A 23,448-nucleotide genomic window follows, 5' to 3' on the forward strand; every position below is an offset into this window, starting at 1 on the left:
GGGTAATATCATCTGACTTAGATTTTAGTAGGCTTACTATATATGGTATGTTGAGAATACACTGAAGAGGGAAAAGAGTGGAAGCAGAAGAACCAGTTGGAGACTACTGTAATAATCCATGTGAGACATGATGGGGGCTCGAAGAAGGATGATAGAAATGGCAATGATATGAGAACCAATAAGAAATGGACACAAACTGTATGTGTTTTGAGAGATAGAGTATTTAGGATTTGCTGACAGACCTATAAATAGGACATGAGATAAAGTACCCAGTCAAGGATGATGCCATGGTTTTTAGCCTAGGCATCTATAATAATGGAGTTGCTATTTACCTGAGATGGGAAGAACTGTGGGAGAAGTAGGTTTTAGGGGAAATATCAAGGAATTAGTTTTCAACTTGTTAAGTTTGATGTGCAGCTGTGGTCTGAAAATTTGTGTTCTCCCCAAAATTTCTATGTTGAAATGCTAACCCCCAAAGTGATAGTATTAGGAGGTGAGAGCTTTGGGAGGTGATTAGGTCATCACGGAGGAGCCTCTACGAATGGAAGGGATTAGTACCCTTATAAAAGAGACCTGAGAGTGACCATTCACTCCTTCCACTACGTGAGGACACAGCAAGAAGATGCCGTCTATGAGAAAGCGGGCCCTCACCAGACACCACCAGCACCTTGATCTTGGACGTTCTAGCCTCTGAAACTGTAAGAAATACATTTCTATTGTGCATGTGCTATCCAGTTTATGGTATTTCATTATAGTATCCCAAATGGACCAAGACAGATGCCCATTAGACATCCAAGCTGGAGATGTCAAATAGAGAATTGAATATACAAACCTTGAATTCATAGGAGAGGTCTGGACTCGGGTCAGAACTTTGGGAGTCATAAGACTGAATGATCACTTAGAGAATAAGTTCAGGTAGAAAAGAGAAGTCCAAGGACTGATCCCTAAACCACTCCAATGTCTAAAGGTTGGGTTGAAGTGCAACAAGCAAAGGAGACTGGAAAGAAGCAGCCAGAGAAGAAAGAAGAAAACCAATAGAATGTGGTTCCTGGAAGCCAAGAGAAGGTGATTCAAGGAAGAGAGAGTGGTCACTTATGTCAAGCACTGCAGATAGCTCAAGTAAGATGAGAACTGAGAATTGGCTGTTGAATTTTGTAACATAAAGGTCACTGGTGATCTTGATCAGAGCAGTGATAAAAGTGAGTTCAAGAGAGAAGGGAAGGAGACAATTTGGAGATTATAAGTATAAACAAATGCTTCAAGGTTTTAGTAAAATGAGGAGGACAGCAATGGGGCAGTAGCAGTATCTAGAAGAGGAATTAGGGTCAAAAGAGGGTTTATTAACTTTTTTAGGTAGGAGAAAAAATATTCAAATGAAAAGATCCACCTCCTGCATTAGAATGTAAGCTTATTGAGGGCAAGGACTTTGTCTTGTGCATATTCAGCACCTTCTATGGTCCCTAGCACATAGCAGGCACTCAATAAATTTTGTTGAATGGTGAATGATCAAATGAATGAAGAAATGAATAAATAAACAAAAGTAGATGTCAATGAGTTGAGCAAGAAATACTAGCAGGATAGAGTGGCAGGTGAATTGAGTAGCACCTTGGCTTTAGTTCTAGTCATTCCTGCCACACTCCTGGCATACCAAACTTATCCCAGGCCCAGACGGCTTGTGAATGAGTTGGCATGGCACAACTCCCTTTGCTAAGAGGGCATGTTATATCTCTGTAGTCACTTGTTCCAGGGAGCAGACAGGCTGTTGGACTGTAAGAATCAGGTGCAGCCAGGTGAGACTGTAGAGTCCAGGAGTGTGCCAAAAGAGATGCCCCTTTGCATCATCACCATTCTCTGGTCCTGATCTGTCTGTGATGCAGGACATGGGTGAGACACATGCTGCACTGGCATCCCAGCCTGCTCTTACTTGCTGGAGGGTAGTTAATAACCTCATGTAACACAGGCCAAGGAGCAGCTAAACCAAAGTTTAAGAAGAAGAAACACATGCCCATGCAGTGACCAGAAGCTTTGGCACCCGGCTCATCTCAGTTGCTGCATTGCACAATCCCCACAATTTAAGGTGATGGGTTGGCCCAGTGGGGCTCTTGCATGGTGCCTATGACTCAGTTTTTGCTAGAAAGATGGCATGGCCCCACTCCAGGCTGGCACATAGGAGGTGCTCGGCAAGTTTTGAATAAATAAACCCCTTGGGACTGAGGAAAGAATGCTTCTTTCGCTTTGCGGAGTTCTTCAGTGCTCAGCCAGAGCCAGATTGTGAATCTAGGCAGTCTGGCTTCAGGGCCTGTAGACTCAGCCACTTAATTTATACATGCAAGGTATTGGGTTTTATTGGGGGAGTGGTGGTGGTGGTAGTGGTATTATTTTTTATAAAAGTAAAAAAAAAAAAAAAAAGCCAGGTGCAGTGGCTCATGTCTGTAATCCCAGCACTTTGGGAGGCCAAGGCAGGTGGATCACTTGAGGTCAGGAGTTTGAGAACAGCCTGGCCAACATGGTGAAACCCTGTCTCCACTAAAAATCCAAAAATTAGCCAGGCATGTTGGCAGGCGCCTGTAATCCCAGCTACTTGGGAGGCACGAGAATCGCTTGAACCAAGGGGGCGAAGGTTGCAGTGAGCTAAGATCGCGCCACTACATTCCAACTTGGGTGACAGAGTGAGACTCTGTCTCAAAAATAAATATATAAAAGTTTTTTTAAAAATCTTGCTATCACATTATCCAAATATTATATCCATATTCCCTCTCACTGGGGCACATACTACTTGGGTTCCTTTGCCTATTATTGTTTTGCTTTTTGGTAGAGAACTCCTACCATACCCAACCATATTACCTTCCCCTTCTTCAAAAGAGATTCCCAGGAATCCTAATATCCCACAGAACATAATCTTTCCATTTCCAGAAAGGAATATGGATGCCTGTTGGTTTTGTCCCTTTGTGTCTTCACAAGTACTGAGTGCCTACCATGTGTCAGGTCCTGTTTTAGTCAACTGGGGATATAGCAGTGACCAAAACAATTTTAAAAAATCCCACCCTCCACAACATCACTTCCATAGCATTCTTGCCAAAAAATGCACTACCTTAATCTAACTGTAAGAAAAAAGCAGACAACACCTGATTGAGGGAAACTCTACAAAATAGTTGGCCTGGACTTGTCAAATTGTCATGAGAGACAAAGGTTGAGGAAGCATCACAGATTAGAGGAGGCTAATGAGGCATGGCAACTAAATACAATATGAGATCCTGGATTGGATCCTAGAACAGGAATAGGACATTAGTAGAGAAACTGGGAAAATGTGAATAAGGTCTGTAGATGAGTTAATCTTATTGTATCAATGTTAATTTCCTGGTTTCAATAATCTTAGTATTATTATGTTAAGGTGTTAAGATTACAGGAAGCTGGGTGAAGGGTATATATGGTAACTCTCTGTGCTATGTTTGCAATTTTCCTGTAAAGTCTAAAATTATTTCAAAATAAAAAATTAAAACTAGCCCTGCCCTCCTGGGGCTTAAGTGCTGGAATTGACAGCCAGAGAGAGAAGAAGGGAGGGAGAGAGAGAAACAATAAGTAAAACAATCAGGATATTATTTAGTATATTAGCAGGCAATGGATGTTATGGAGACAAAGTAGGAAAGGGAAATGAGGAGTAGAGGGGCTGTATTCAAGTAGGATGGTCGTGGAAGGCCTCACTGAGATGACATTTGAACAAAGCCTTTAAAGAAGAGGGTGCAAGAGCCACAAGGTAGAGCACACCAGTACGAGGGAAATGCAAAGGTGCTGAGGGCATGGAATGCCTGCCCAGTTTAAAGAACCACAGGAAGCCTAGTGTGGCTAAAGCCCAATGAGCAAAATCAGTTTGCCGCATTCTGTGGTTTTAAAGGTATCGGAAAGAGACTGACCACAGAGGAAAGATTAGGGAAGTCAAACAAAGGACATCAAATGGAAGGCCTGCTGTTGTCCTCTGTTTCCAACCAAGTCACAGATGACAGAAACATGAAGGGAAGGAAAGAGCAGGGAAGTAAAATCGCTGAAGTCTAGAATCACTGTCCAATTTCTGGTGAGTAAATAGATCCTTATTAAGCACCATAACAAGTTTCTGAGTCTCCTGTGTTTTATTCCTCTCCAAGCACTGAACTATAATTAATGCTGAGTGTGGCACTGGTATCACACAGCCTGTGACATCTTCCTGATTTTGTGCTGTGTAAAATCATGAGAAGTGTAATTGGTAGCACAAACGGGTGGGCTGATTTTTCTTGGACTAATGAGTGGAAATGATGAAAAATCCAGAACATTTTTTTGATTTGGCTTATGTTTATTATCAAAAATTCTCGACTTATTCAGGTAGCATCACTTGGATGTTTGAGGCCTGGTAATGCATGCACTAAACAGTATGCAGTCAATGATGTTGCTTGGCAAGCAGCCCCCTGGCCTGATGTATACTTACAAAAGACAGGCCAGGTACCAGCGGGGTTTCCTAAGGGTTCCTCAGCTGGTAGCTTTGACTGAGGATGCTTCCTCTTCACCAACTATGCAGAAGCAGATATCCACATGGGAGGAGCCAGCCTAATTCATGGGAGGCTTGGTGACAGCAATGTTGTTTTAGGAACATCTTTGACCAGTCCACACAAGAGTGCTTAAAAAAAAAAAAAGATTGTATGAGAGGATTTAGTGCTTAGTATTCTGAAAAGTGTAAAATACTGCATAAGGTATTACTATAATAATAATTATTATTATGTACTATGATGAGGTTTAAAGAAATTAAAAGGTCTATAGCTATAATGTTTTCTAGTTCCTTACTTGTTTAGTGTTATGAAGGATGCCATTACCCTCTTTTTAGAAAGGACAGCTACCATTTTGAGCACTTACTATGTGCCAGGCACTATAATAAATGCCTTGCATGTATTGTTTCATTTAGCCCTCACAATAACACCATGAAGTAGGTACTGTTGATATCCCCATTTTAAAATTGAGGTAAGTGAGGCTAAGAGATGTTAAATAACTTACCCAAGGTTGCACAGTAAGTGGTTAGAACCAAAATTATATGCAGGAGATTGGCTCTAGAATTCTGTGTCCTTACGTCTGTGCTACAGTACCATTTAAAATAAGGGATGCAGGACACACATGCTCTGAAAAGGCAGATTTAGGTCTCCAAGAGGGAAGGCATCAGCTCTGCTTTTGGGGCTCCATACACAAGGATAACTGTTAAGAAGGCCCGAAGCATGTGGGGCAGCTGGAGCTCAGACTGATGTACTTGGATGTCTGAAGAGGTGCTAAGGGGCTATCTGGCATCCCAACTTGAAAGACTGAGCTAGGATGAAGAGCAATGGACAAACTCTGAATTCTAGAACTACCCAGAATAGCCGTCACCCACTTCACCCCATCCTTATGTCTGTGAGGAAACTAGAGAGGCAGAGCACTGCTGACACGTGCCCAAGGTCACACGGTTCTCTAGAGCCAGCAGCTGCAGTAGAACTCTGGTCTTCAGGCTCCCAGTTCAGTGCTCATCCTCCAACCCCACCCCCATTAGCCCCTCGCATTCAGTGGGCAGCAGTCAGAAAGAAGGCATCTCCTTTTGAGTGAAGCTACTGTCTGGAGCAGTGGTTCTCAGTGTAGCCCAGGGACCTGCAACATCAACATCACCTGGGAACCTGTTAGAAATGCCAATTCTTGGGTCTTTCCCTGGACCAACTGGGGCTGGGGCCCTACAATGTGTGCTGTAACAAGCCCTCTTGATGATTCTAATGTATGCTGAAGTTTGAAACCCACTGGTCTAGACTGACAAGCAAAGCACTGAGTGCTGCAGATATCAATATGCATGTGGAGCATCAACTTGCACAGCACAAAGGATAGTCTTCATAGGGAAGGAATGTGGAAAGGACTGCAGCCCTCGAGCCACACCTGCAGCACAGTGTCACCTTCAAACACACATGATAGTCACAGATAGATACACAGAGACTGGGAGGGAGGGTGTAGCCAGTTTTTGTTGATCTTCAGCTGCATCAAAGATAATGTAGTTTTGCCAGCTCAGCAGTTCGCTAGAGACATGCCAGCTACTCGGCTTGGTGCTGTGGAAGGTGAAGTCCCTGCACCTCGGGGAAACTGCCACCCAGGATTATAGAACTTCCAAATTGGGAGGGAGCTTAGAGATTATCTACTCCATTATCCACCTCTACCACTCCTTGGTAATGGCATCCCTGACTGGCACTTTCTCAGCTTCAGCATTACAGGGCCATAGTGAGAGTGAGCTCAGTTTCTTTTAGGACAGCTTGGAGGTGGGAGGGAGAAGGGAACTTACACACAGGTAACTACCATTACAAAAAGTAGTATAAGTGTTAGAGCCAATGCTGTAAGAACACAGAGCCAGGAGGAATACATTTTAGCTGTGGGAGATCAGGGATGACTTCATGGAGGAGATGTCCTTTGAGCTGGGCAAGATTTCAGCAAGCAGACACAGTGGAGTAGGAGGGGTTATTTCCAAAGAAGACAATATCATGAAAAACACTTGAAGGAATGAAAATCCAGAACAAATTTCACAAAACTATTTAGGCAGGCTAGGTTGAGAGGACACATTCTGCAACGAGACTGCTTAGCTTAAAATACTGACTCTGCAACTTACTGGCCACTTGACTTTGGGCAAATTATTGAACATCTCTTGGCCTCTGTTTTCCTACCTGTAAAATGAAAATAATACAACATACCTGTGCTATATCATATTGGGTTGGGAGAAAGAGTAAATGAGATAATGCTATGAACTAGCTAACACAGTGTCTGGCATATAGCAAGTGCTCCAGGACAGTTTGGCAAGCTTTCTTCATATATAACAGGAAATTTGTTTGGAGCACTGGCAATAGAACTGAGAGTAGTGGAGGTAATCTTTGATACTAGGTTGTGGAGAGAGCTTAGAGTGCCAAACTAAGAATTTGGGGCTTTTATTCTGAAGGCAGGGGATATGCGTAGTAGGAGGATGAATGGGAACAGCGGCAAGGGATAGAGAGAGTTAAGAAGCCACTCGATCTTACTTAAGGCAGTGACAAGTTACCTGAAAGGAACAGGACGAGAATCAGGTTCAGAGGAGAGATATTTGTGTGAGTGTATGTCTGAACTATACTGTCACATATAAACCTGACTTTGGGTTAACAGCCTGAAATGTACACATGTGTCTATTAAATAATTGGAGAATAAAAATTAATGGTTGGAGAGAATATTCGTCATTTGTTCTATTGTGAAAGACAATCCTTTGTTAGCTCGAGTGAAGCTATGTGAAATATTATATCCTATGAAAACACTTCCTAAAGTTGGCCTTTTTGTAAGAAAATTTGGGATATGTGCAATTCACACATACTTGATCAATTTAAGCACATTCTGTTTTACTGGCAGGCACCAAAATCTGTAATAAGACAAGGAGTCCTCCAGTGAAAGAGATGATTAGAGATTGCAATAGCAGTGCACACTGAGCTCCAATTAAGGAATTTCCTAATGGTTGTCTAGGAATACAAGTGCCCTCCATTTGGGCTTTGGTGATAACTAGAGTATTCTTTAGTTGTTAATCAGAGTGAACACAATTCAAAATGTTCTCGACTCGTGGGTCAGAGGGAATGATCTCATTTGGCACATTATTGAGTTTCTGAGAAGAGGAAAGATACTAACAGCTCACAAATATTTTGTTATTGACTAACTGCAAAGATGCATCTGTTAAAGCAATCCATCTGAGTTGGCTAGTTCTCTCGAATATTAAAGAATATCAATATATACTAAAAGCAAGTCAATTTGTCAAGCATTTACAAAGCAACTTTGAAGCCAAATGATACCTTTTCTGCCTTCCCTTCTCTTCTAGAAGATACTCACAAACACATACAAATCTGGACTAAATTCCCTCTAACAGACCCTTTGTAAAGAAAGCTCACTTTCTTTGGCTGCAGTGACACAGATGTTTGGGTGGGAGGGGGTGCGGAGGGTGGCGGAAGCATGCTGGTTCAATGCTTGAGAAACAGTGCTGCACCCAACAGACTGAATGTCATGAATTCTTTGTCAGCTCCCCCTCAGACCCTCCAGGCTTTCCCTTTGTCTGCTAAGGGATGGAAACAGAACAGATACATTGAAGCCGGTAGACTGACCAGCTAGATTGACCCAAATTCATTCAGGAAATGCAAAAGCCTGCTGGCTCCTGGGATTAGCTGGCTGGTGTTTGAATCGCTACCCATCTGTACATTTCCTTCTAGTCCAGTGCAGCCCCAGCTTGCTACATCTGCTCACCTCAGCAGCTTGCTTTCCAAGACAAGATAATTTGAGAAGAGTCTAGTTGTGAGAAAGCAATGTCCAATGCTAGGGAAACTTTGTGGCAAGCCCGAAGAGAAATTTGGCCCTTATGGTAAGTGATTTGCTATATCCCCGGTGTTCTTTTCCCACCATCTGCCCTTGCTCTTCTCTAATTCTAGGTAATGCAGCCAACTTGTCAGGCTTAGCTTTGTCGAGAGGATATACCATTTTCAAGGCTTCATTTTTTCATAAGGACTGTGCTAAGCAGCTGTAAGAAAAAATAGGATGAAAAAATGAATGTTTTGTTTACATTAGTGAGGTGGCATCAAAAAGCAATGAGGAAAGGCCCAGTACATCTCATAGACAGTTAATTATGTCAGAACTCAGACTAAAGGAGACATGGAGGTCTAGACAAATTATACCCAGGGTTTACCCTGCTGACAAGAGTTCCTATCCCAGCAATAGACAGGGGTCACAGAAAAAGCCTATAGCACAGTATTTCTCAGCCCTGCACATTAGAATCTCTTGGAAAACTTTAAAAAATATATATGCAGAGTCCCCTCCCTCAGAGATTATGTCTTAATTGCTATGGAGTTAGGGCCACAGCATTGGTACTTTTTAAAAGCTCCCCAGATGGAAAACAAAATTGCCACAAAGGACATCATTGAGACAATTAGCCACATTTGAATATGGACTATATATTAGGTAATATAATTGTGTCAGTGTTAAAATTACTGAACTTGGTAACCATGGTGCTGTGATTACGTAAGAGGATGTCCTCCTTCTTAGGAAATATGCACTAAAGTATCTAGCGGTGAAAGGCATGATGTCTGCAACAAACTCAAATGGATTAGGGAGAAAAACACCTAGAAATGTAAAGGAGGAATAAAGCAAATATGGCAAAATGCTAACAATTTGGCTCATCTGGGTGAGGGGTATACAGGGTTTTTTTGGTACTATTCTTAGAACTCTTCTGTTGGTTTAAAATTATTTTGAAATACAAAATTCTTTTTAAAAAATAAAAAATAAAACAGATCCCCTGATGAAATAAAGCCCAACCAAATTTGGAAACCATTGGGTTCAGTCAAATAGAGGGAATGGGGACCTGCTATAGATAGGTGAGACTGAAAGCCTTTCTGAGACATTATCCTACATCAGTGTTTCTTCCACTTTAATGCTCATACACATCTCCTGGAGATCTGGTTAAAATTCAGTTTCTGATTCGGAAAGTCTGTAGTGGGACCTGAGAATCTGCATTTCCCTTTCTTTCTTTCTTTCTTTCTTTCTTTCTTTCTTTCTTTTTTTTTTTTTTTGATAAGTTTTCCCTCTGTTGCCTCTGCTGGAGTGTAGTGGTGTGATCATGGCTCACCGAAGCGTCAACTTTCCAGGCTCAAGTGATCTTCCCGCCTTGGCCTCCCAAACAAAATGTTGAGTTTACAGGCATGAGTTACCATGCCCCCCTGAGATTCTGCATTTCTAATAGACTCCCTGGTGATGCCAATGAGGTTATTCCATGGGCCACCCTCAGAGTAGCAATTCTTGGACTGAATTACCCCACCATAAATTTGTCAGTCAGTAAACAAGTATTTTGGAACTGCAAGAAAAATTCTCTAAGTGGAGTGGGCCTGCAGAGTTCTATGGATTGGCAGCCCCATCATCTTGACCCCTTGACCATGGCAACTCCCCGTGAGGGATTCAGAAAGTCTGCAGTGGGGCCCAACCTGCCCTGTGGGAGTCACTCTGATCCACAGAACAGAACAGAGCACCTAGCAGAATAAGCATAAACAAAGGCTTGCAGCAAATGGAAGAAGGTATGAATGGTCTCTTCAAAAGCAAGTTTATGATACAAGTCCCAGGAGAAGTGCAGCCCTTTCCAGTGGGTGGCAGTGGAGCCAAGCTGAGGCTCTTATAGAGAGCAACATAGTTCTGATGAAGTGTCAGGGTACAGGCTGCGTGGGTCCAGCTGCCTCCTCCAGGTGAGGACCCCTTTCTTAGAAATAAAATTCCAAGGAGGATTCCCATTTCATGCTGGCTGTGGCATGCTTTGAGTTTGTTGCTTCCACTGTAAGTGGAGAACCAAAATGTCTCTCACTTGGAGGACCCTGCTTCCATCAGAACTTCCCAAACCTTGCTCTACCATTTCCCCCTCAAGGTAGCTCCTTTCCCCTCTGCCTGTGTGTTGTGATTGTGCTTTCCATGCATTGAATTAGAGGCTATCCTGTTATTTATATCTTCCTTGTTTACATCCAAATCGAGGCCAACTAGTGTGAATGCACAGAAGGCAACTGAGCTTTACTGAGCATGCAACCCCAGAGAAAAGCTCTAGAAGACAAATGAGAAAGGCCCTGGAGTTGGTCAGCCCTGAGTTTGTATCCTCGCTTTACCACTTAATAAGTGTGTGAACTCGGGCAAGTTACTTAACATCTCTGAGCTTTGGGTTCCTCATCTATAAAATAGGGTCAATAATTGTACTGACTTCATAGAGTTGTGAGTATTAAATCAAATAGCGAGTACAGCAAGTGCTCAAGAAATGGAAGATAGTCATGGACTTGATGGGCATTTATTAAGTTTCTTCTATGTGTAGACAAAGAGTAGTTCAAATCCAGTCTAGTCCTACTTGCTAGTTGTGCAATCTTGGATGAGTTGCTTTGTTTTACCTCTCTGAGCCTCAGTTCCGTTACTCTTAAGTGACACTGGTGCTGGTATATAAATCACAGAATTGCTGTAAGGAATAAGTGAAGTCAGACATGTTAAACACATGTCAGGCACATATAAATGTGCTCAGCCAACATGAAATATCATAATTGTTGTGGTTATCATGTCAGCTCTTCTCTGAGCACCTTTGTATTATGAGATTTACTTAGCAGCCAAGCACACTTTGCAGCCTCCTCCAGTAGACCCTCTCCAATCTTCACTGTCATTTCCCTGAGGGCGGAGGCCCTATCCTTTATACCATTTCTGGTGTCTCCATGACACCTGGCAGTGAGTAGGTGTTCAGTGCATGAAGCAGAGAGCACTATGCTGCAAGCACAGCCATCAGAAGCATCACTGCCTGGGTTCAAGTTTTAGCATGTCCACTTTACTTGCTGGGTGACTTTCTAGCAACTCCTGGATCTTCTCTGAGTCTCCATTCTCTCACATGTAGTAAGGGTGTGATAATAATTCCTACCTCTGGGGATTGCTGCAAGGATTAAAGCTGGGTACATAGTGAGAGCTTAATAAGGGTTGAGTGTTTTAATTGCTGTTATTATTTGAGAAAAGTCTTACAGTCAAGGATCACAGGAGCTACTCTGAGAAATCATGCACACACATGCATAGATACACACGAGTGGGCAGCACTGAGAGGACAGGTTACAGGAAAGACACAAATAGGCATTTATTGCCCATGAAAGGCTCTTTGAACCCCAAGCCAGAGCCAGTGTCTGCCTAAAATTTTCTCTGTAACCATGGTACTGAGAGCCCCTGAGGGTTTTTTTTTAATATTGAAGTAAAATTCATATAACAGAAAATTTATCATTTTAACATGAAGAATTCAGTGACATTTGGTACATTCACAGTGTTACAGAACCACAGCTCTTCTGAATTGATTACCCCTTTAAGCTGGCTGTATCCAGAGGAAGGCAGGGCTCATTGCCTTCTGTAACCCTTCTTGTCACTATTCCATACCTCTTCACATCCCCACTTTGTTTCTCCTTCCTCATTTTTTCAATTGTACTCTCTCTCTCCACTCTCCTGCTCTTTGGGGGCAAAGGGATATGTGTCTCTGATATACATGTACTTTTAGGAAGAGTGAGGATATTTACCCACTGGAAAGATTCCAGGTCTAAAAGATGGCACTGGAAGAGTGCAGAATGGGACTGGTGAAGCCACTTCTTGCCAGGACAGGCTTGGCACACCTGAAAGCAGGCACAGCACAATGTCAGCTGCCCATTGACCTTAGTCTTCGTGGCCCCAGGGTCAACAGACAACCTGAAAAGGCTTATTATCAATTATGACGTCTGAGAATCACAGTCCTGTTTGTTATCATGTCTTCTATCTTTGGCCTCCCCGTTATTATGAGTAAATTTGCTTCATATTAAAGCATCTATTGCAGAATAACCTTCATAGGCTCCACAACCTCACAGAATCTGCTTTATATTTGTACCTATCGGCAAGAGCCACATCTTAAATATATTAAACAATAAGAATAATACTGCATATGTACTGAATTATTCCTGCATGCCAAGCACTGCGCTAAATGTGTTTCATGAGTTATCTCATAAATGAATCCTTACAATGACTCTAGGGGCCAGGCATTGTTAATATCTACTTTTAATAGATCAGGAAACTAAGGCACAGAGCCAATGGCTGATTTGTCCAAGAGCAAGTGACAAAACCCATGCTTTACACGGCTGAGTAATATTGTGGCCCCATAATCCCACCATGGATAATTAACAGAAAAAAAAATATTCATTTGCAACCACAGACAGTAGCTTCCTTCATCCACTGCTAGACTTTAGTCTTGGTTCATGAACTTCCTAGTTTTTGACGTTAGGCTGTTCACCTAACCCATCTGAAACTGTTTCTTCCTCTATATAATTGTGGAAATTGTCCTGCCTTACCTCGCTCAGATTTATGAGTATAAAATATAAAAACATGCAGGGAATGTTTTTGCAAAATGTAAAGTGCTATGCCAATGTCAGGAACTGACATCATGAATAATGGCTTCTTGGGATTATGTGAGAACCACCCAGTTTCATGCTGGGGAATTAGAGCTCCCTAGGAGCTCTGTGATAACCCCGGGAAGCTGCAAGTTCTTCTAGCCAAATCAAATCCTTGACAAGCCACGCCCATTTCTACTCTTCATGGTTGTGTGAACTCTTAAGTGCTAGCTGATATGGTTTGGATCTGTATTCCCTTCAAATCTCATGTAGAAATGTAATTCTCAGTGTTGGAGGTGGGGTCTTATGGGAGGTGATTGGATCACTGGGGCAGATTCCTCATGAATGGCTAAGTGCCATCCCCTTGGTGATGAGTGAGTTCTCATTCTGAGTTCACATAAGATCTGGTTGTTTAAAAGTGTGCAGCACCTTTCCCCTGACTCTCTTGCTCCCTCTCTCACCATGTGATATGCTGGTTCCCCCTTCACCTTCTACCATGATTGTAAGTTTCCTGAAGCCCTCACCAGAATCCAAGCAGATGTTGGTGCCATGCTTGTACAGCCTGCGGAACTGTGAGACAATTAAACCTCTTTTCTTTATAAATGACCAAGCCTTAGGCATTTCTTTACAGCAATACAAAAATGGTCTAGCGCACTAGCCAACTTCTCTGAACTCCTAATCTGTGTCTTTAAAATGTACTTGGAACAGCACTGGAAAAATCCTCCACTTTTGATATATCCGGGGCTGAATAAACCCAGTGAAAGCCTTATAAGATGTCTTCTGCCTGTTCTAGTTTTGAAAAATCACAGCCTACCTATCACAGAGGTTGAGATGCAGATTAACTTGAGGTGATAAATTTGAAAGTGCTTTGCACAGTGCTTGCCTCATAGTGGGTGCTCAAAAGATGGTGCCTCTTTTGTGATTCAGATTGTTATTCTTGGGGCTGGGGGTGGTTAGGTAGGATGCCAAAGAAGAGAGAGGCTGCAGCAAGGGGAAGGCAGTTTGGGCAGTTGGGACTCCTAGACCACACGGCTTGCCAATTTCCTGATTCCTCGAAATGAAGGCATGATTTTGAAACACAGCTGCCTCTTACTCACACAAAAGCAGTTTATGCACAAGGCTGTGTCTGACTTCCCATGTAGGTTATTTGTGTTTCCCAGAAATGTTGGGAAGGTGTAGGAAGATGAAGCCTAATTAAGGGTCTTCCTGTTCCACCACACTTCATCTCCCTGGCATGCAAGTGGTTTAGCAGCAAAGCAGGCAGACAAAAAGTCTCTCAGCAAGAAATAACTTTTATTATCCCTCAATGTAGACATGCAGGACAGTGGACCAGAAAGGCTAGGAAGCAGTGGAGGGTAGCAGTCTTTTAAATACTACATATCATTCTTTTAAAGAATTATTAAGTGTTTTCAGAAATTGTAAATTTTCCACGTATTCATTGCCCTCAGTGAAACAATGCACAGGAATGTTCTCCTCCGTTCTTCTGCTTCTGCAGTGTAAGCAGTATTAACAGCCTGGGTTCAAATCCTCCCACAACCTTCTTTGTGCACATGCAACCTTCTTTGTATTCAGGCATGTAAGACATCCATAGGGGATTTTGCTGTTTGTACTAGAATGGGATTGTGAGATATATGTTTCTCTACAGCTTGGCTTTTGCACTTAACAGTGCATCACAGACCTCCTAGCACATCAGTAGTTATAGATCTGGTACATTCTTTCAAACCACTACATGATACTTCATAATATGAACAATATGAATATGCCAGGATTTATTAAACTGTACATCTATCGATAAGCACTTGGGTTGTTTAGAACATTGTAGTCATTCTCAGAGACTTTTTGTCTGCCTGCTTTGCTGCTAAACCACTTGCATATCAGGGAGATGAAGTGTGGTGGAACAGGAAGACCCTTAACTAATTATAATATGGTAAACATATTTACCAGTGTTGGTAAATATGGTGGGAAAGATTGCTGGGTCAAAGGGTTTTAATTTACTTATGGAAAAATTGCTTGGCTGATATTCATAAATTGCATTCTGATTCCCTCATCCTATTATCAAAAAGTTTATTGTTGATCAGTTAAGCAGATTTCATTTGCCTTCCCAATAATCAACGTATGACCCATAGTAAAGGACGGTTGTAAAGAGTGGGCATCCAAGGATATGATCTTCTCTTCATTGGGATCCCAGAAATGGTGGGTTGTAATTTATCTAACTGGACTAATTTCTCCAGATGCCTTCTTTCACTGACACAATCCAATTATTCTCCTGCCTTTTCTAGCCACGATCACCTTAGGCTCAACCTTGAGAAACAAAAAGAAAACAAATTTTGTTGGCAGCAGACATGTTTTGGTTCTCCCTCAGATAAAGTTTCCTTTGCAGGACAATAAAAGGGGAATTGGAAAGGCTGGAAAAGTAAGGTGAGCACAAGTTAACAGAAGATGAGGAACATCAATCTGCTTTACTAAAGGAATTACTTTTGCAAAAGTATTGCTGAATAGTGCTTTTAAGTATCAAGGACATGGTGGGTACATGGGGGTTCACTGTAAAATTATTTCACATTTGTTTTACAAACTCTTAAGGTGTTATTTTTTTATTTGCATTTTTTTGAGACAGGGTCTTTCACTCTGTCACCCAGGCGGGAGTGTGGTGGTACAATAATGGCTCACTGCAGCCTTCACTTTCCTGGCTCAAGCAATTTTTCCTACCTCAGCCTACTGAGTAGCTGAAATCACAGCCATGTGTCACAGCACCCGGCTTATTTTTTAATTTTTTAAAAAGATGTGGTCTCGCTATGTTTCCCAGGTTGGGCCGAAGCAAGCCTCCCACCTCAGCTTCCCAAAGTCTTGGGATTACAGGCGTGAGCCACTGTGCCTGGCCCTGTTAAGATGTTCATATGTGGTTTGATTTATAAAAATTCTGCTCACATGCCACTTTCCAGGCATAAAATATCTGTATCAAGATACTTTGCTGTGTGTGATACTTTATGCTTTTTAAAGCAATTTCATTTCACAATCCAATTCTACCCTCACAGCATCATAGTATGACAGGAATCACTCTTCTCATTTGACAACAGAGATAATTAGGCCTGGAGAGGTAAATGACTTGTCAAAAGTCACATACATAATTAGCAGCAGAGCTAAGCCTTAAATTAGGGATTCCCCATCCAGCATTTGTCTCACTTGGGGAAGATGGGTAGAACATGAGACCCTAATTCCATCTCTCATTAGGTCTCTGCTTGAGTCTTATTTGGCCTAACTCAATTTCTGTTTTACTTCAGGCATGTAGATCCATGCTTCTTTCCATGGCTAATATAACACTGATTGAGCACCAGTAATGCACTAGGTGCTCTAGAGACTATTGAATTAAATCTGGTTGCTGCCCTGTAGCTCCTATTCTGAATTTGTTGGAGCCCAATCTAAAATAGTTATTGCTCTGCACAGATAGTACAGGCGTATAAGAACATTTCTCCAATCTAAGCTTGTATCTCACCATTTTTCTTTAGGACCCCCAACAGAATTTCTTCTTATCAGGCAGGAATATCCCACAACTGGTCTCTGAGTAGTCTTAAAAAACAGCCCTTTATTTTGCCTGACTCACTCTTGAAGATGAATGCATCAGCTTGTTTTCTCTTCCAGAATAACATACAGAGGACAGCTTTCTCTTCTGAGGAGTCAGAAGTTCAGTTCGCCCAACATGGAATGACTTGAGGTACACTTGAATGGTCTCTGTGTCCCTAAATATCTTCCTCATCAGCAGAAATGTCCTCTTTGAAGATGTGATTCCTTGACTACTTCCTGCCTCTTCATGTTGTGTCAGTTACGTGATCCATTAACCAGGCTGTATGTATATCCTTTGAAATGTTTCAAACATCTTTCCCTTTGCTAACCACTCCCACTTGCCACTGGCTTTGTTATCTTAAACAGCAAAGTCCCAGCAGATCTCCCTACTTAGCATCTTTTCCTCCAGTCTACACTATATGCTACTGGCAAAATTATATTTCTAAAACAAAGCTCTGATTATATTATTCCCCTAGTCAAAAACCATAGTCGGCTTTCCACTGCCTGTTGCAGTGGTGTTCAAAGTCCATTTGTTCATTTGTCTGTTTGTTCTTTGGTTTCAAATCAGCAGCACCTTTTTTTTCAAGTAAAAAAAATTAGGTAGTTAAGATCCCAAAATGTAAAGCAGATAAAAGTAGACATGCCTTAAAAAATATGTAGACACACTGTAGTTGAAGTGAGAAGTTGGGGGTGAGAAAGTAGGGAAGCTCTGGGCCCCTTGCTCCTGGCAGAACCCTTGGTCCTCAGGGAACACAGTGTGAAGACCACTGGCCTGCTCATAAGTTTAAAATGCCTTTGCTTGCCATTCAAGACTGCACTAACCTGGCCCTAAACTGCCTCTCCCATGAGACTTCCAATTGTCCTTAAAGGAACCCTTTGCTTCAGCCGTTCGTTCTGCTCTCTGTCTTCCCCACACAACTGGGACATTCTTTACCTTTGCACTGCTAAGCCCCCAAGCCTGAAATGTCCACTACTGTTCTTGGTTCCTGTCTGACTTGCATTCACCCTTTGAAAACCAGCTCTAGTTCTACTTACTTTAAGAAATATTTGCCGGCTTCCTTGTTCCGCAGGGACTCACTTACTGGAGCTGTAATGACTTTATCTTCCAAAAGAACAAAAGAGAAGCAGCCCAGGAAATAAATTCCTATCAACTCTGTTTTTATGTGCTCCTTCTGGCTAGAGAAGCCTTATGATGTTACCACTCTCTGAAGTCCCTCTTCTGTAAAATTGGGACAATAATAGTAGTCATCTCAGGGATTATGCAAGGATTAAGTTATATCAAGCTCCTAGCCCAGGGTTTAGCACTAGTAAATAGTATAACTTACTAGTTATACTAGCAAGTGTAACTGGTAAGTAGTATAACTAGCAAGTTATACTACTAACTAGTATAGTAAGTAGTATAGTAAGTAGTATAACTCGCGAGTTATACTACTAACTAGTATAGTGACTGGCTTCTTTTTTGTGACTGGCTTCTTTCATTTATCATAATGTCCTCCAGGTTGATCCATGTTGTAGCATGTGACAGGATTTCTTCCTTTTCTATGACTGAATAATATTCCACTGTATGGATATATCATACTTTGGTTATCCATCCATCTGTTGATGGACACTTGGGTTGCTTCCACCTTTTGACTATTGTGAATATGCTGCTATAAACATTGGTGTACAAGTATCTCTTTGAGATACTGTTTTTGACTCTTTTGAATATATACCCAGATGTAAAATTGCTGTATCATATTGTAGTTATTGTTTTGTTTGCTTGATGAATCTCCATCCAGTTTCTCATAGTGGCTGCACCATTTTACATCCCTACCAGCAATGCACAAGGGTTCCAATTTCTCACATCCTTGCAAACCCTTGTTATTCTCTGTTTTCTTGTTGATAATGGCCATCCTATTGGGTGTAAGGTGATATCTCATTGTGGTTATGATGTGTATTTCCCTAATGATTATTGATGTAGAGCATCTTCTTTGTGCTTATTAGTCATTTGTATATCTCTTTGGAGAAATGCCCATTCAAATCCTTCCACCATTTTTAAATCAGGTTATTTGTTGTTGTTGTTGTTGCTGTTGCTGTTGATTTGTAGAAGTTCTTTATATATTCTGGATATTAATCCCTTAACAGATATGTGGTTTGCAAATATATTCTCTCATTCAATGGGTTGCTCTTTCACTCTTGATTGTTTCCTTTGCCACACAGAAGTTTTTAAGTTCAATGTAGTCATATTTGTCTATTTTTGCTCTTTAGTGTTATTTTAATGTGTCTATATCCTGTCTTCTCACTGAAACTCAAAGCTTTCCAAAGGTACAGTGCATGATTCCTCTTGTGTTGTCTGTTGTGTCATGCTCTGTGCCACGCACATAGTAGGTGCTCACGAATATGTACCAACCAATTAATTGAATCTCCATATGCACATTAACCTATTATCAGCCATGAGTGCCTTAGCAAAATTATTTTTTTAGTTAACTGGAAGCTTAGAGGATAGCATCTATGATTGGGCCAAAGGAGAGACATAGGTTGGAGGAGTGAATAGAAAACATGGGGCCTTCTCAGGAAGAGGAGACTCTATGGCAGCAGGTGGGGACATTGTGCCTGACATACGGAAAGGTCCCCATAAATGTTAGCTGGTATCATTATTTGTGCACTAGCTGTCTGAGACAGGGAGAGGCAATGCTGGGATAACTGAATGGAAATATGAGAAATTCAAAAGAGAAACTTTTTGTCAGCTTGCCTTCTTAAAAGTATGTGTGTGTGTGTGTGTGTGTACATATATATGTGCACACGTGCTCAAGTGCCAAGATCCAAATTTGTTTTGCGACCAGGAAGATAATTCACTGTTTGCGTTATTTCCAAGAGTAACCATTAATGCAGGTAGAGAGGAGGACCACAAATGTGATTACTATTCAGTAGACTCTTTTTGGATGATGTCCATGCATTACTTATCTCACATATACTACATCAGTGCTAAAGAAGAAAGGAAGGAAAGAAGGAAGGAAGGAAGGGAGAGAGGGAGGGAGGGAGGGAGGGGAGAAGAAGAGAGGAGAAGAGAGGAGAGGAGAGGAGAGGAGGCAAAAGAAGAAAGGAATAATTAGGAGTTGATTAAAGCACCTGCCCTAGGACTCTTGGAGATAAATAGGATTTTCTGACCTGTTACTTTATTTTAAAATTAATGTTGCCTTTGGGGCTCTCAGTGCTAAATAGTGAAAACTCAACAAAGATAGTAGTCCCTGCTTTGGGCTGGAAAACATCACAAGGGAAATTAGAAAACACCTTGAGATGAATGAAAATGAAAATACAACATATCAAAATTTATGGAACACGGTGAAAGCAGTGCTAAAAGTGATATTCATGGCTATAAATGTTTACATTGAGAAAGAAGTTCTTAAATCAACAACCTAACTTCACACCTTAAGGAATTAAAAAATAACAAGCTAAACCCAAAGCTAGCAGAGGAAAGAGACCAATAAAGATTGGAACAGAGATAAATAAAAATAGTGAATAGAAAATAAAATAAATAAAATAGAATAAAATAGAGAACAGCAATGAATCCAAGAGATGTCTCTTTGAAAAGATCAACAAAATTGACAGAGTTTATAGCTAGATCGACTAAGCAAAAAAAAGAGAAGCCTCAAGTAACTAAAATCAGAAATGAAAGCACAGACATTACCAAAAATGTTAAAGGAATAAAAAGATTATAAGGGAGTACAATGAAGAATGGCATGTTAACAAATGTGGTAACCTAGATAAAATGGACAAATTTGTAGAAACATACAGCCTACCAATATTGAATTATGAAGAAATAGACAATGCCAATACACCTATAACTAGTAAGGTGATGAAATCAGTAATCAAAATAATTTAAAGGAAGAAAAGCCAAGATCCAATGGGTTCACCTCTAATTTCCACAAAACATTTAAGAGTAATTAACATCAATTTGTTTCAAACTCTTAAAAAATTAAAGAAAAGAGAATATTTCCTAACTTACTCTATGAAGCCAGCATTACCCTGATATCAAGCTAGAAAGAGACACTGCAAGAGAACTACAGACCAATATACCTTATGAATATTGATGCAAATATCCTCAGCAAAATACTAGCAAATAGAATTCAATAGCATATTAAAAGGGTTATATGCCTTGAGTAAGTGGGATTTATTCCTCAAATGCATTGATGGGTCAACATTAAAAAAATCAATCAATATTATACACCACATTAACAGCATGAAGGGGAAAACCACATGACCATCTCAAGTTACACAGAAAGAGCATTTTACAAAATTCAACACCTTTTTGTGATTTTTAAAAAGAACTCAATAAACTAAAAATAGAAGAAAACTACCTCAACATAATAAGGCCATATATGAAAAACCTACAGCTAACATCATGCTTAATGGTAAAAGACTGAAAGCTTTTACTCAATGATCAGAACAAGACAAGGATGTCAGCTTTTTGGCACCTCTATTGAACATAGTATTAGAATGCCTAGACAGACAGCAATTAGGCAAGAAAAATAAATAAAAAGAATCTAAATTGAAAAAGAAAAAGTAACATTATCTCTCTTTACAGACAATATGATCTTCTATATGGAAAATGCTGAAGATTTTATTTTAAAAACTATTAGAACTAATAAATCAATTTGGGAAATTGTCAGGCTGTAAAATCAACATACAATAATCAGTTGTAGTTCTATACACCGACAACAAGCAATCTGAAAAGGAAATGAAGAAAACGATTTCATTTAAAATAGTGTCAAAAAGAATAAAATACTTAGGAATAAACTTAACCAAGGAGACAAATAAATGTGTACTGAAAAGTATAAAACATTGCTGAAAGAGATTAAAGACACAAATAAATGGAAATATGGAAATACATCTCATGCTCTTAGATTGAAAGACTTAACATATTTATGATGTCACTACCCAAAGTGATCTACAGATTCAGTGCAATCCTTATCAAAACCCCAGTGACTTTTGTTGCAGAAATAGGAAAATCCATCCTAAAATTTATATGGAATCTCAAGGGACCCCAGATGAGTGAAACAATCATGAAACAGAGCAAAGTTGGAGAACTCACACTTCTTAATTTCAAAACATACTACGAAGCTTACAGTAATCAAAATATTGTGGCACTGTCATAATGACAGACACATATACCAATGGAGTAGAAGAGAGCCCAGAAATAAACCCTCATTAGATGGTACCTTTTTGTACCCTTTTGACAAGGGCACAAAGTCCATTCAATAGGGAAAGAGCAATCTTTCCAACAAATGGTGGCTGGGAAAACTGGATATCCACATGCAAAGGAATGATGTTGGGCCTTTACCTTACACCATATACATAAATTAACTTAAAACAGATAAAACACCTAACCATAATAACTAAAACTATAAAACTCTTAGAAGAAAACATAGGGGAAAATCTTCGTGACATTGGATTTGGCAATGATTTATTGTATATGACATCAAAAGCATAGGCAACAAAAAAATGGATAAGTTGGATGTCATTAAAATTAAAAACCTTTATGTATCAAAAGACAATATCAGAGTGAAAAGGCATCCTACAGAATGAGAGAAAGTATTTGCAAATCCTATATCTGGTAAGGGATTGATATCCAGAATTGTAAACTCAACAACAACCACAAAATTCGATTATAAAATTATGCAAAGGCCAGGCAAAGTGGTTCTTGCCTGTAATCCCAGCACTTTGTGAGGCCAAAGCAGGAAGACGGCTTGAGCCCAGTAGTTTGAGACCAGCCTGGGCAACATGGCAAAACACCATCTTTACAAAAAAAAAAAAAAAAATTAGCCTGGCATGTCTCCTGTAGTCCCAGCTACTCAGGAAACTGAGGTGGCAGAATTGATTGAGCCTAGGAGGTTGAGGCTGCAGTGACCTGTGGTTGTGCCACTGCAATCCAGCTTGGGTGACAGAGTGAGACCCTGCCTCCAAAAAAAAAAAAAGAAAGAAAGAAAAGAAAAAGGGGGGGGGGCAAATGATTTGAATATACATTTCTCCAAAGAAGATATACAAATGACCTATATACACATGAAAAGGTGCTTGACATCACTAGTCATTGGAGAAAGGCAAATCAAAACAACAAATGAGATACCACCTTACACCAGTAGGATGGCCATTTTACAAACCACACACACACACAAACACACAAAAAATAACAAGTGTTAGCCAGGATGTGGAGAAATAGGAACTCATGTGCATTGCTGGTGGGAATGTAAAATGGTACAGCTGCTATGGAAAATGGTATGATAATTCCTTTAAAAATTAAAAATAGAATTACCATATGATCTAGCAGTTCTACTTCTGGGTATATACCCAAAGAAATTGAAAGCAGGGACTTCAGTAGATATTTACACATCCATGTTCCTTGCAGCATTATTCACAATAGCTAAAAGTTAGAAGCATCCCAAGTGTGCACCAACAGATGAATAAAGAAAATGTATATGTTACTCATCCTTTGAAAGGATGGAAATTCTGACATATTCTACAGGAATGGATGAACTTTGAAGACATTATGCTACGTGTAATAAGCCAGACACCAAAGGACAAATATTGTATGATTCCATTTGTATAAAGTACTTAGAGTACTCAAATCCATACAATCAGAAAGTAGAATGGTGGTTTCCAGGAGCTGAGAGGAGGGGAGAATGGGGAATTGTTGGTTATTGGGTATACAGTTTCAGTTGGGGAAGATGAAACATTTCTGGAGAGAGTGATGATGATTGCACAACAATGTGAATGTAGGCCTGAGGGAGGATTAAGATGGCAGATAGGAGGCAGGACTAGCTTGCAGCTCCCACTCAGACAGACAGAGCAGTGTATAGAGACTCTCATCATGAACTTTTGCTCCAAGAACTACCACAGGAACATACCAGGGAAGCCGAGAGAATCCACAGACCCTTTGAAGGAACTGGATCACCACTGCAGGTTCCCTGAGATGTCAAAAACCTGTGTCTGTTTGCTTTCTCAGCCA

The 23,448-nt window shown here is 40.6% G+C and overlaps 1 protein-coding gene across 10 annotated transcripts in view, besides 1 other annotated feature; it reads left to right on the top strand.

The window, feature by feature from the left end:
* The window catches only part of PAK3 (p21 (RAC1) activated kinase 3), a 282,965-nt gene that overhangs the window by 52,887 nt on the left and 206,630 nt on the right, over positions 1 to 23,448 (top strand). For 4 of the 10 annotated variants that reach the window (XM_047442148.1, XM_047442149.1, NM_001128166.3 and 1 more), the window contains one exon: positions 16,545 to 16,617. The exons of the other annotated variants lie outside the window; for them this stretch is intronic. The gene's annotated coding sequence lies outside the window, so the exon portion shown is untranslated. The remainder of the gene's footprint in view (positions 1 to 16,544; positions 16,618 to 23,448) is intronic. 10 annotated transcript variants of the gene reach the window in all.
* Positions 13,526 to 14,026: an enhancer, noted in NCBI's record as "H3K27ac-H3K4me1 hESC enhancer chrX:110254037-110254537 (GRCh37/hg19 assembly coordinates)". NCBI's record gives its function as "activates a minimal SCP1, AML or CMV promoter by ChIP-STARR-seq in naive H9 embryonic stem cells {active_cell/tissue: H9 hESC(naive)}" and the evidence as "EXISTENCE:reporter gene assay evidence [ECO:0000049][PMID:30033119]".

The sequence above is a fragment of the Homo sapiens genome, chromosome X (assembly GCF_000001405.40).
Source record: "Homo sapiens chromosome X, GRCh38.p14 Primary Assembly".
Classification (NCBI taxonomy): domain Eukaryota; kingdom Metazoa; phylum Chordata; class Mammalia; order Primates; family Hominidae; genus Homo; species Homo sapiens.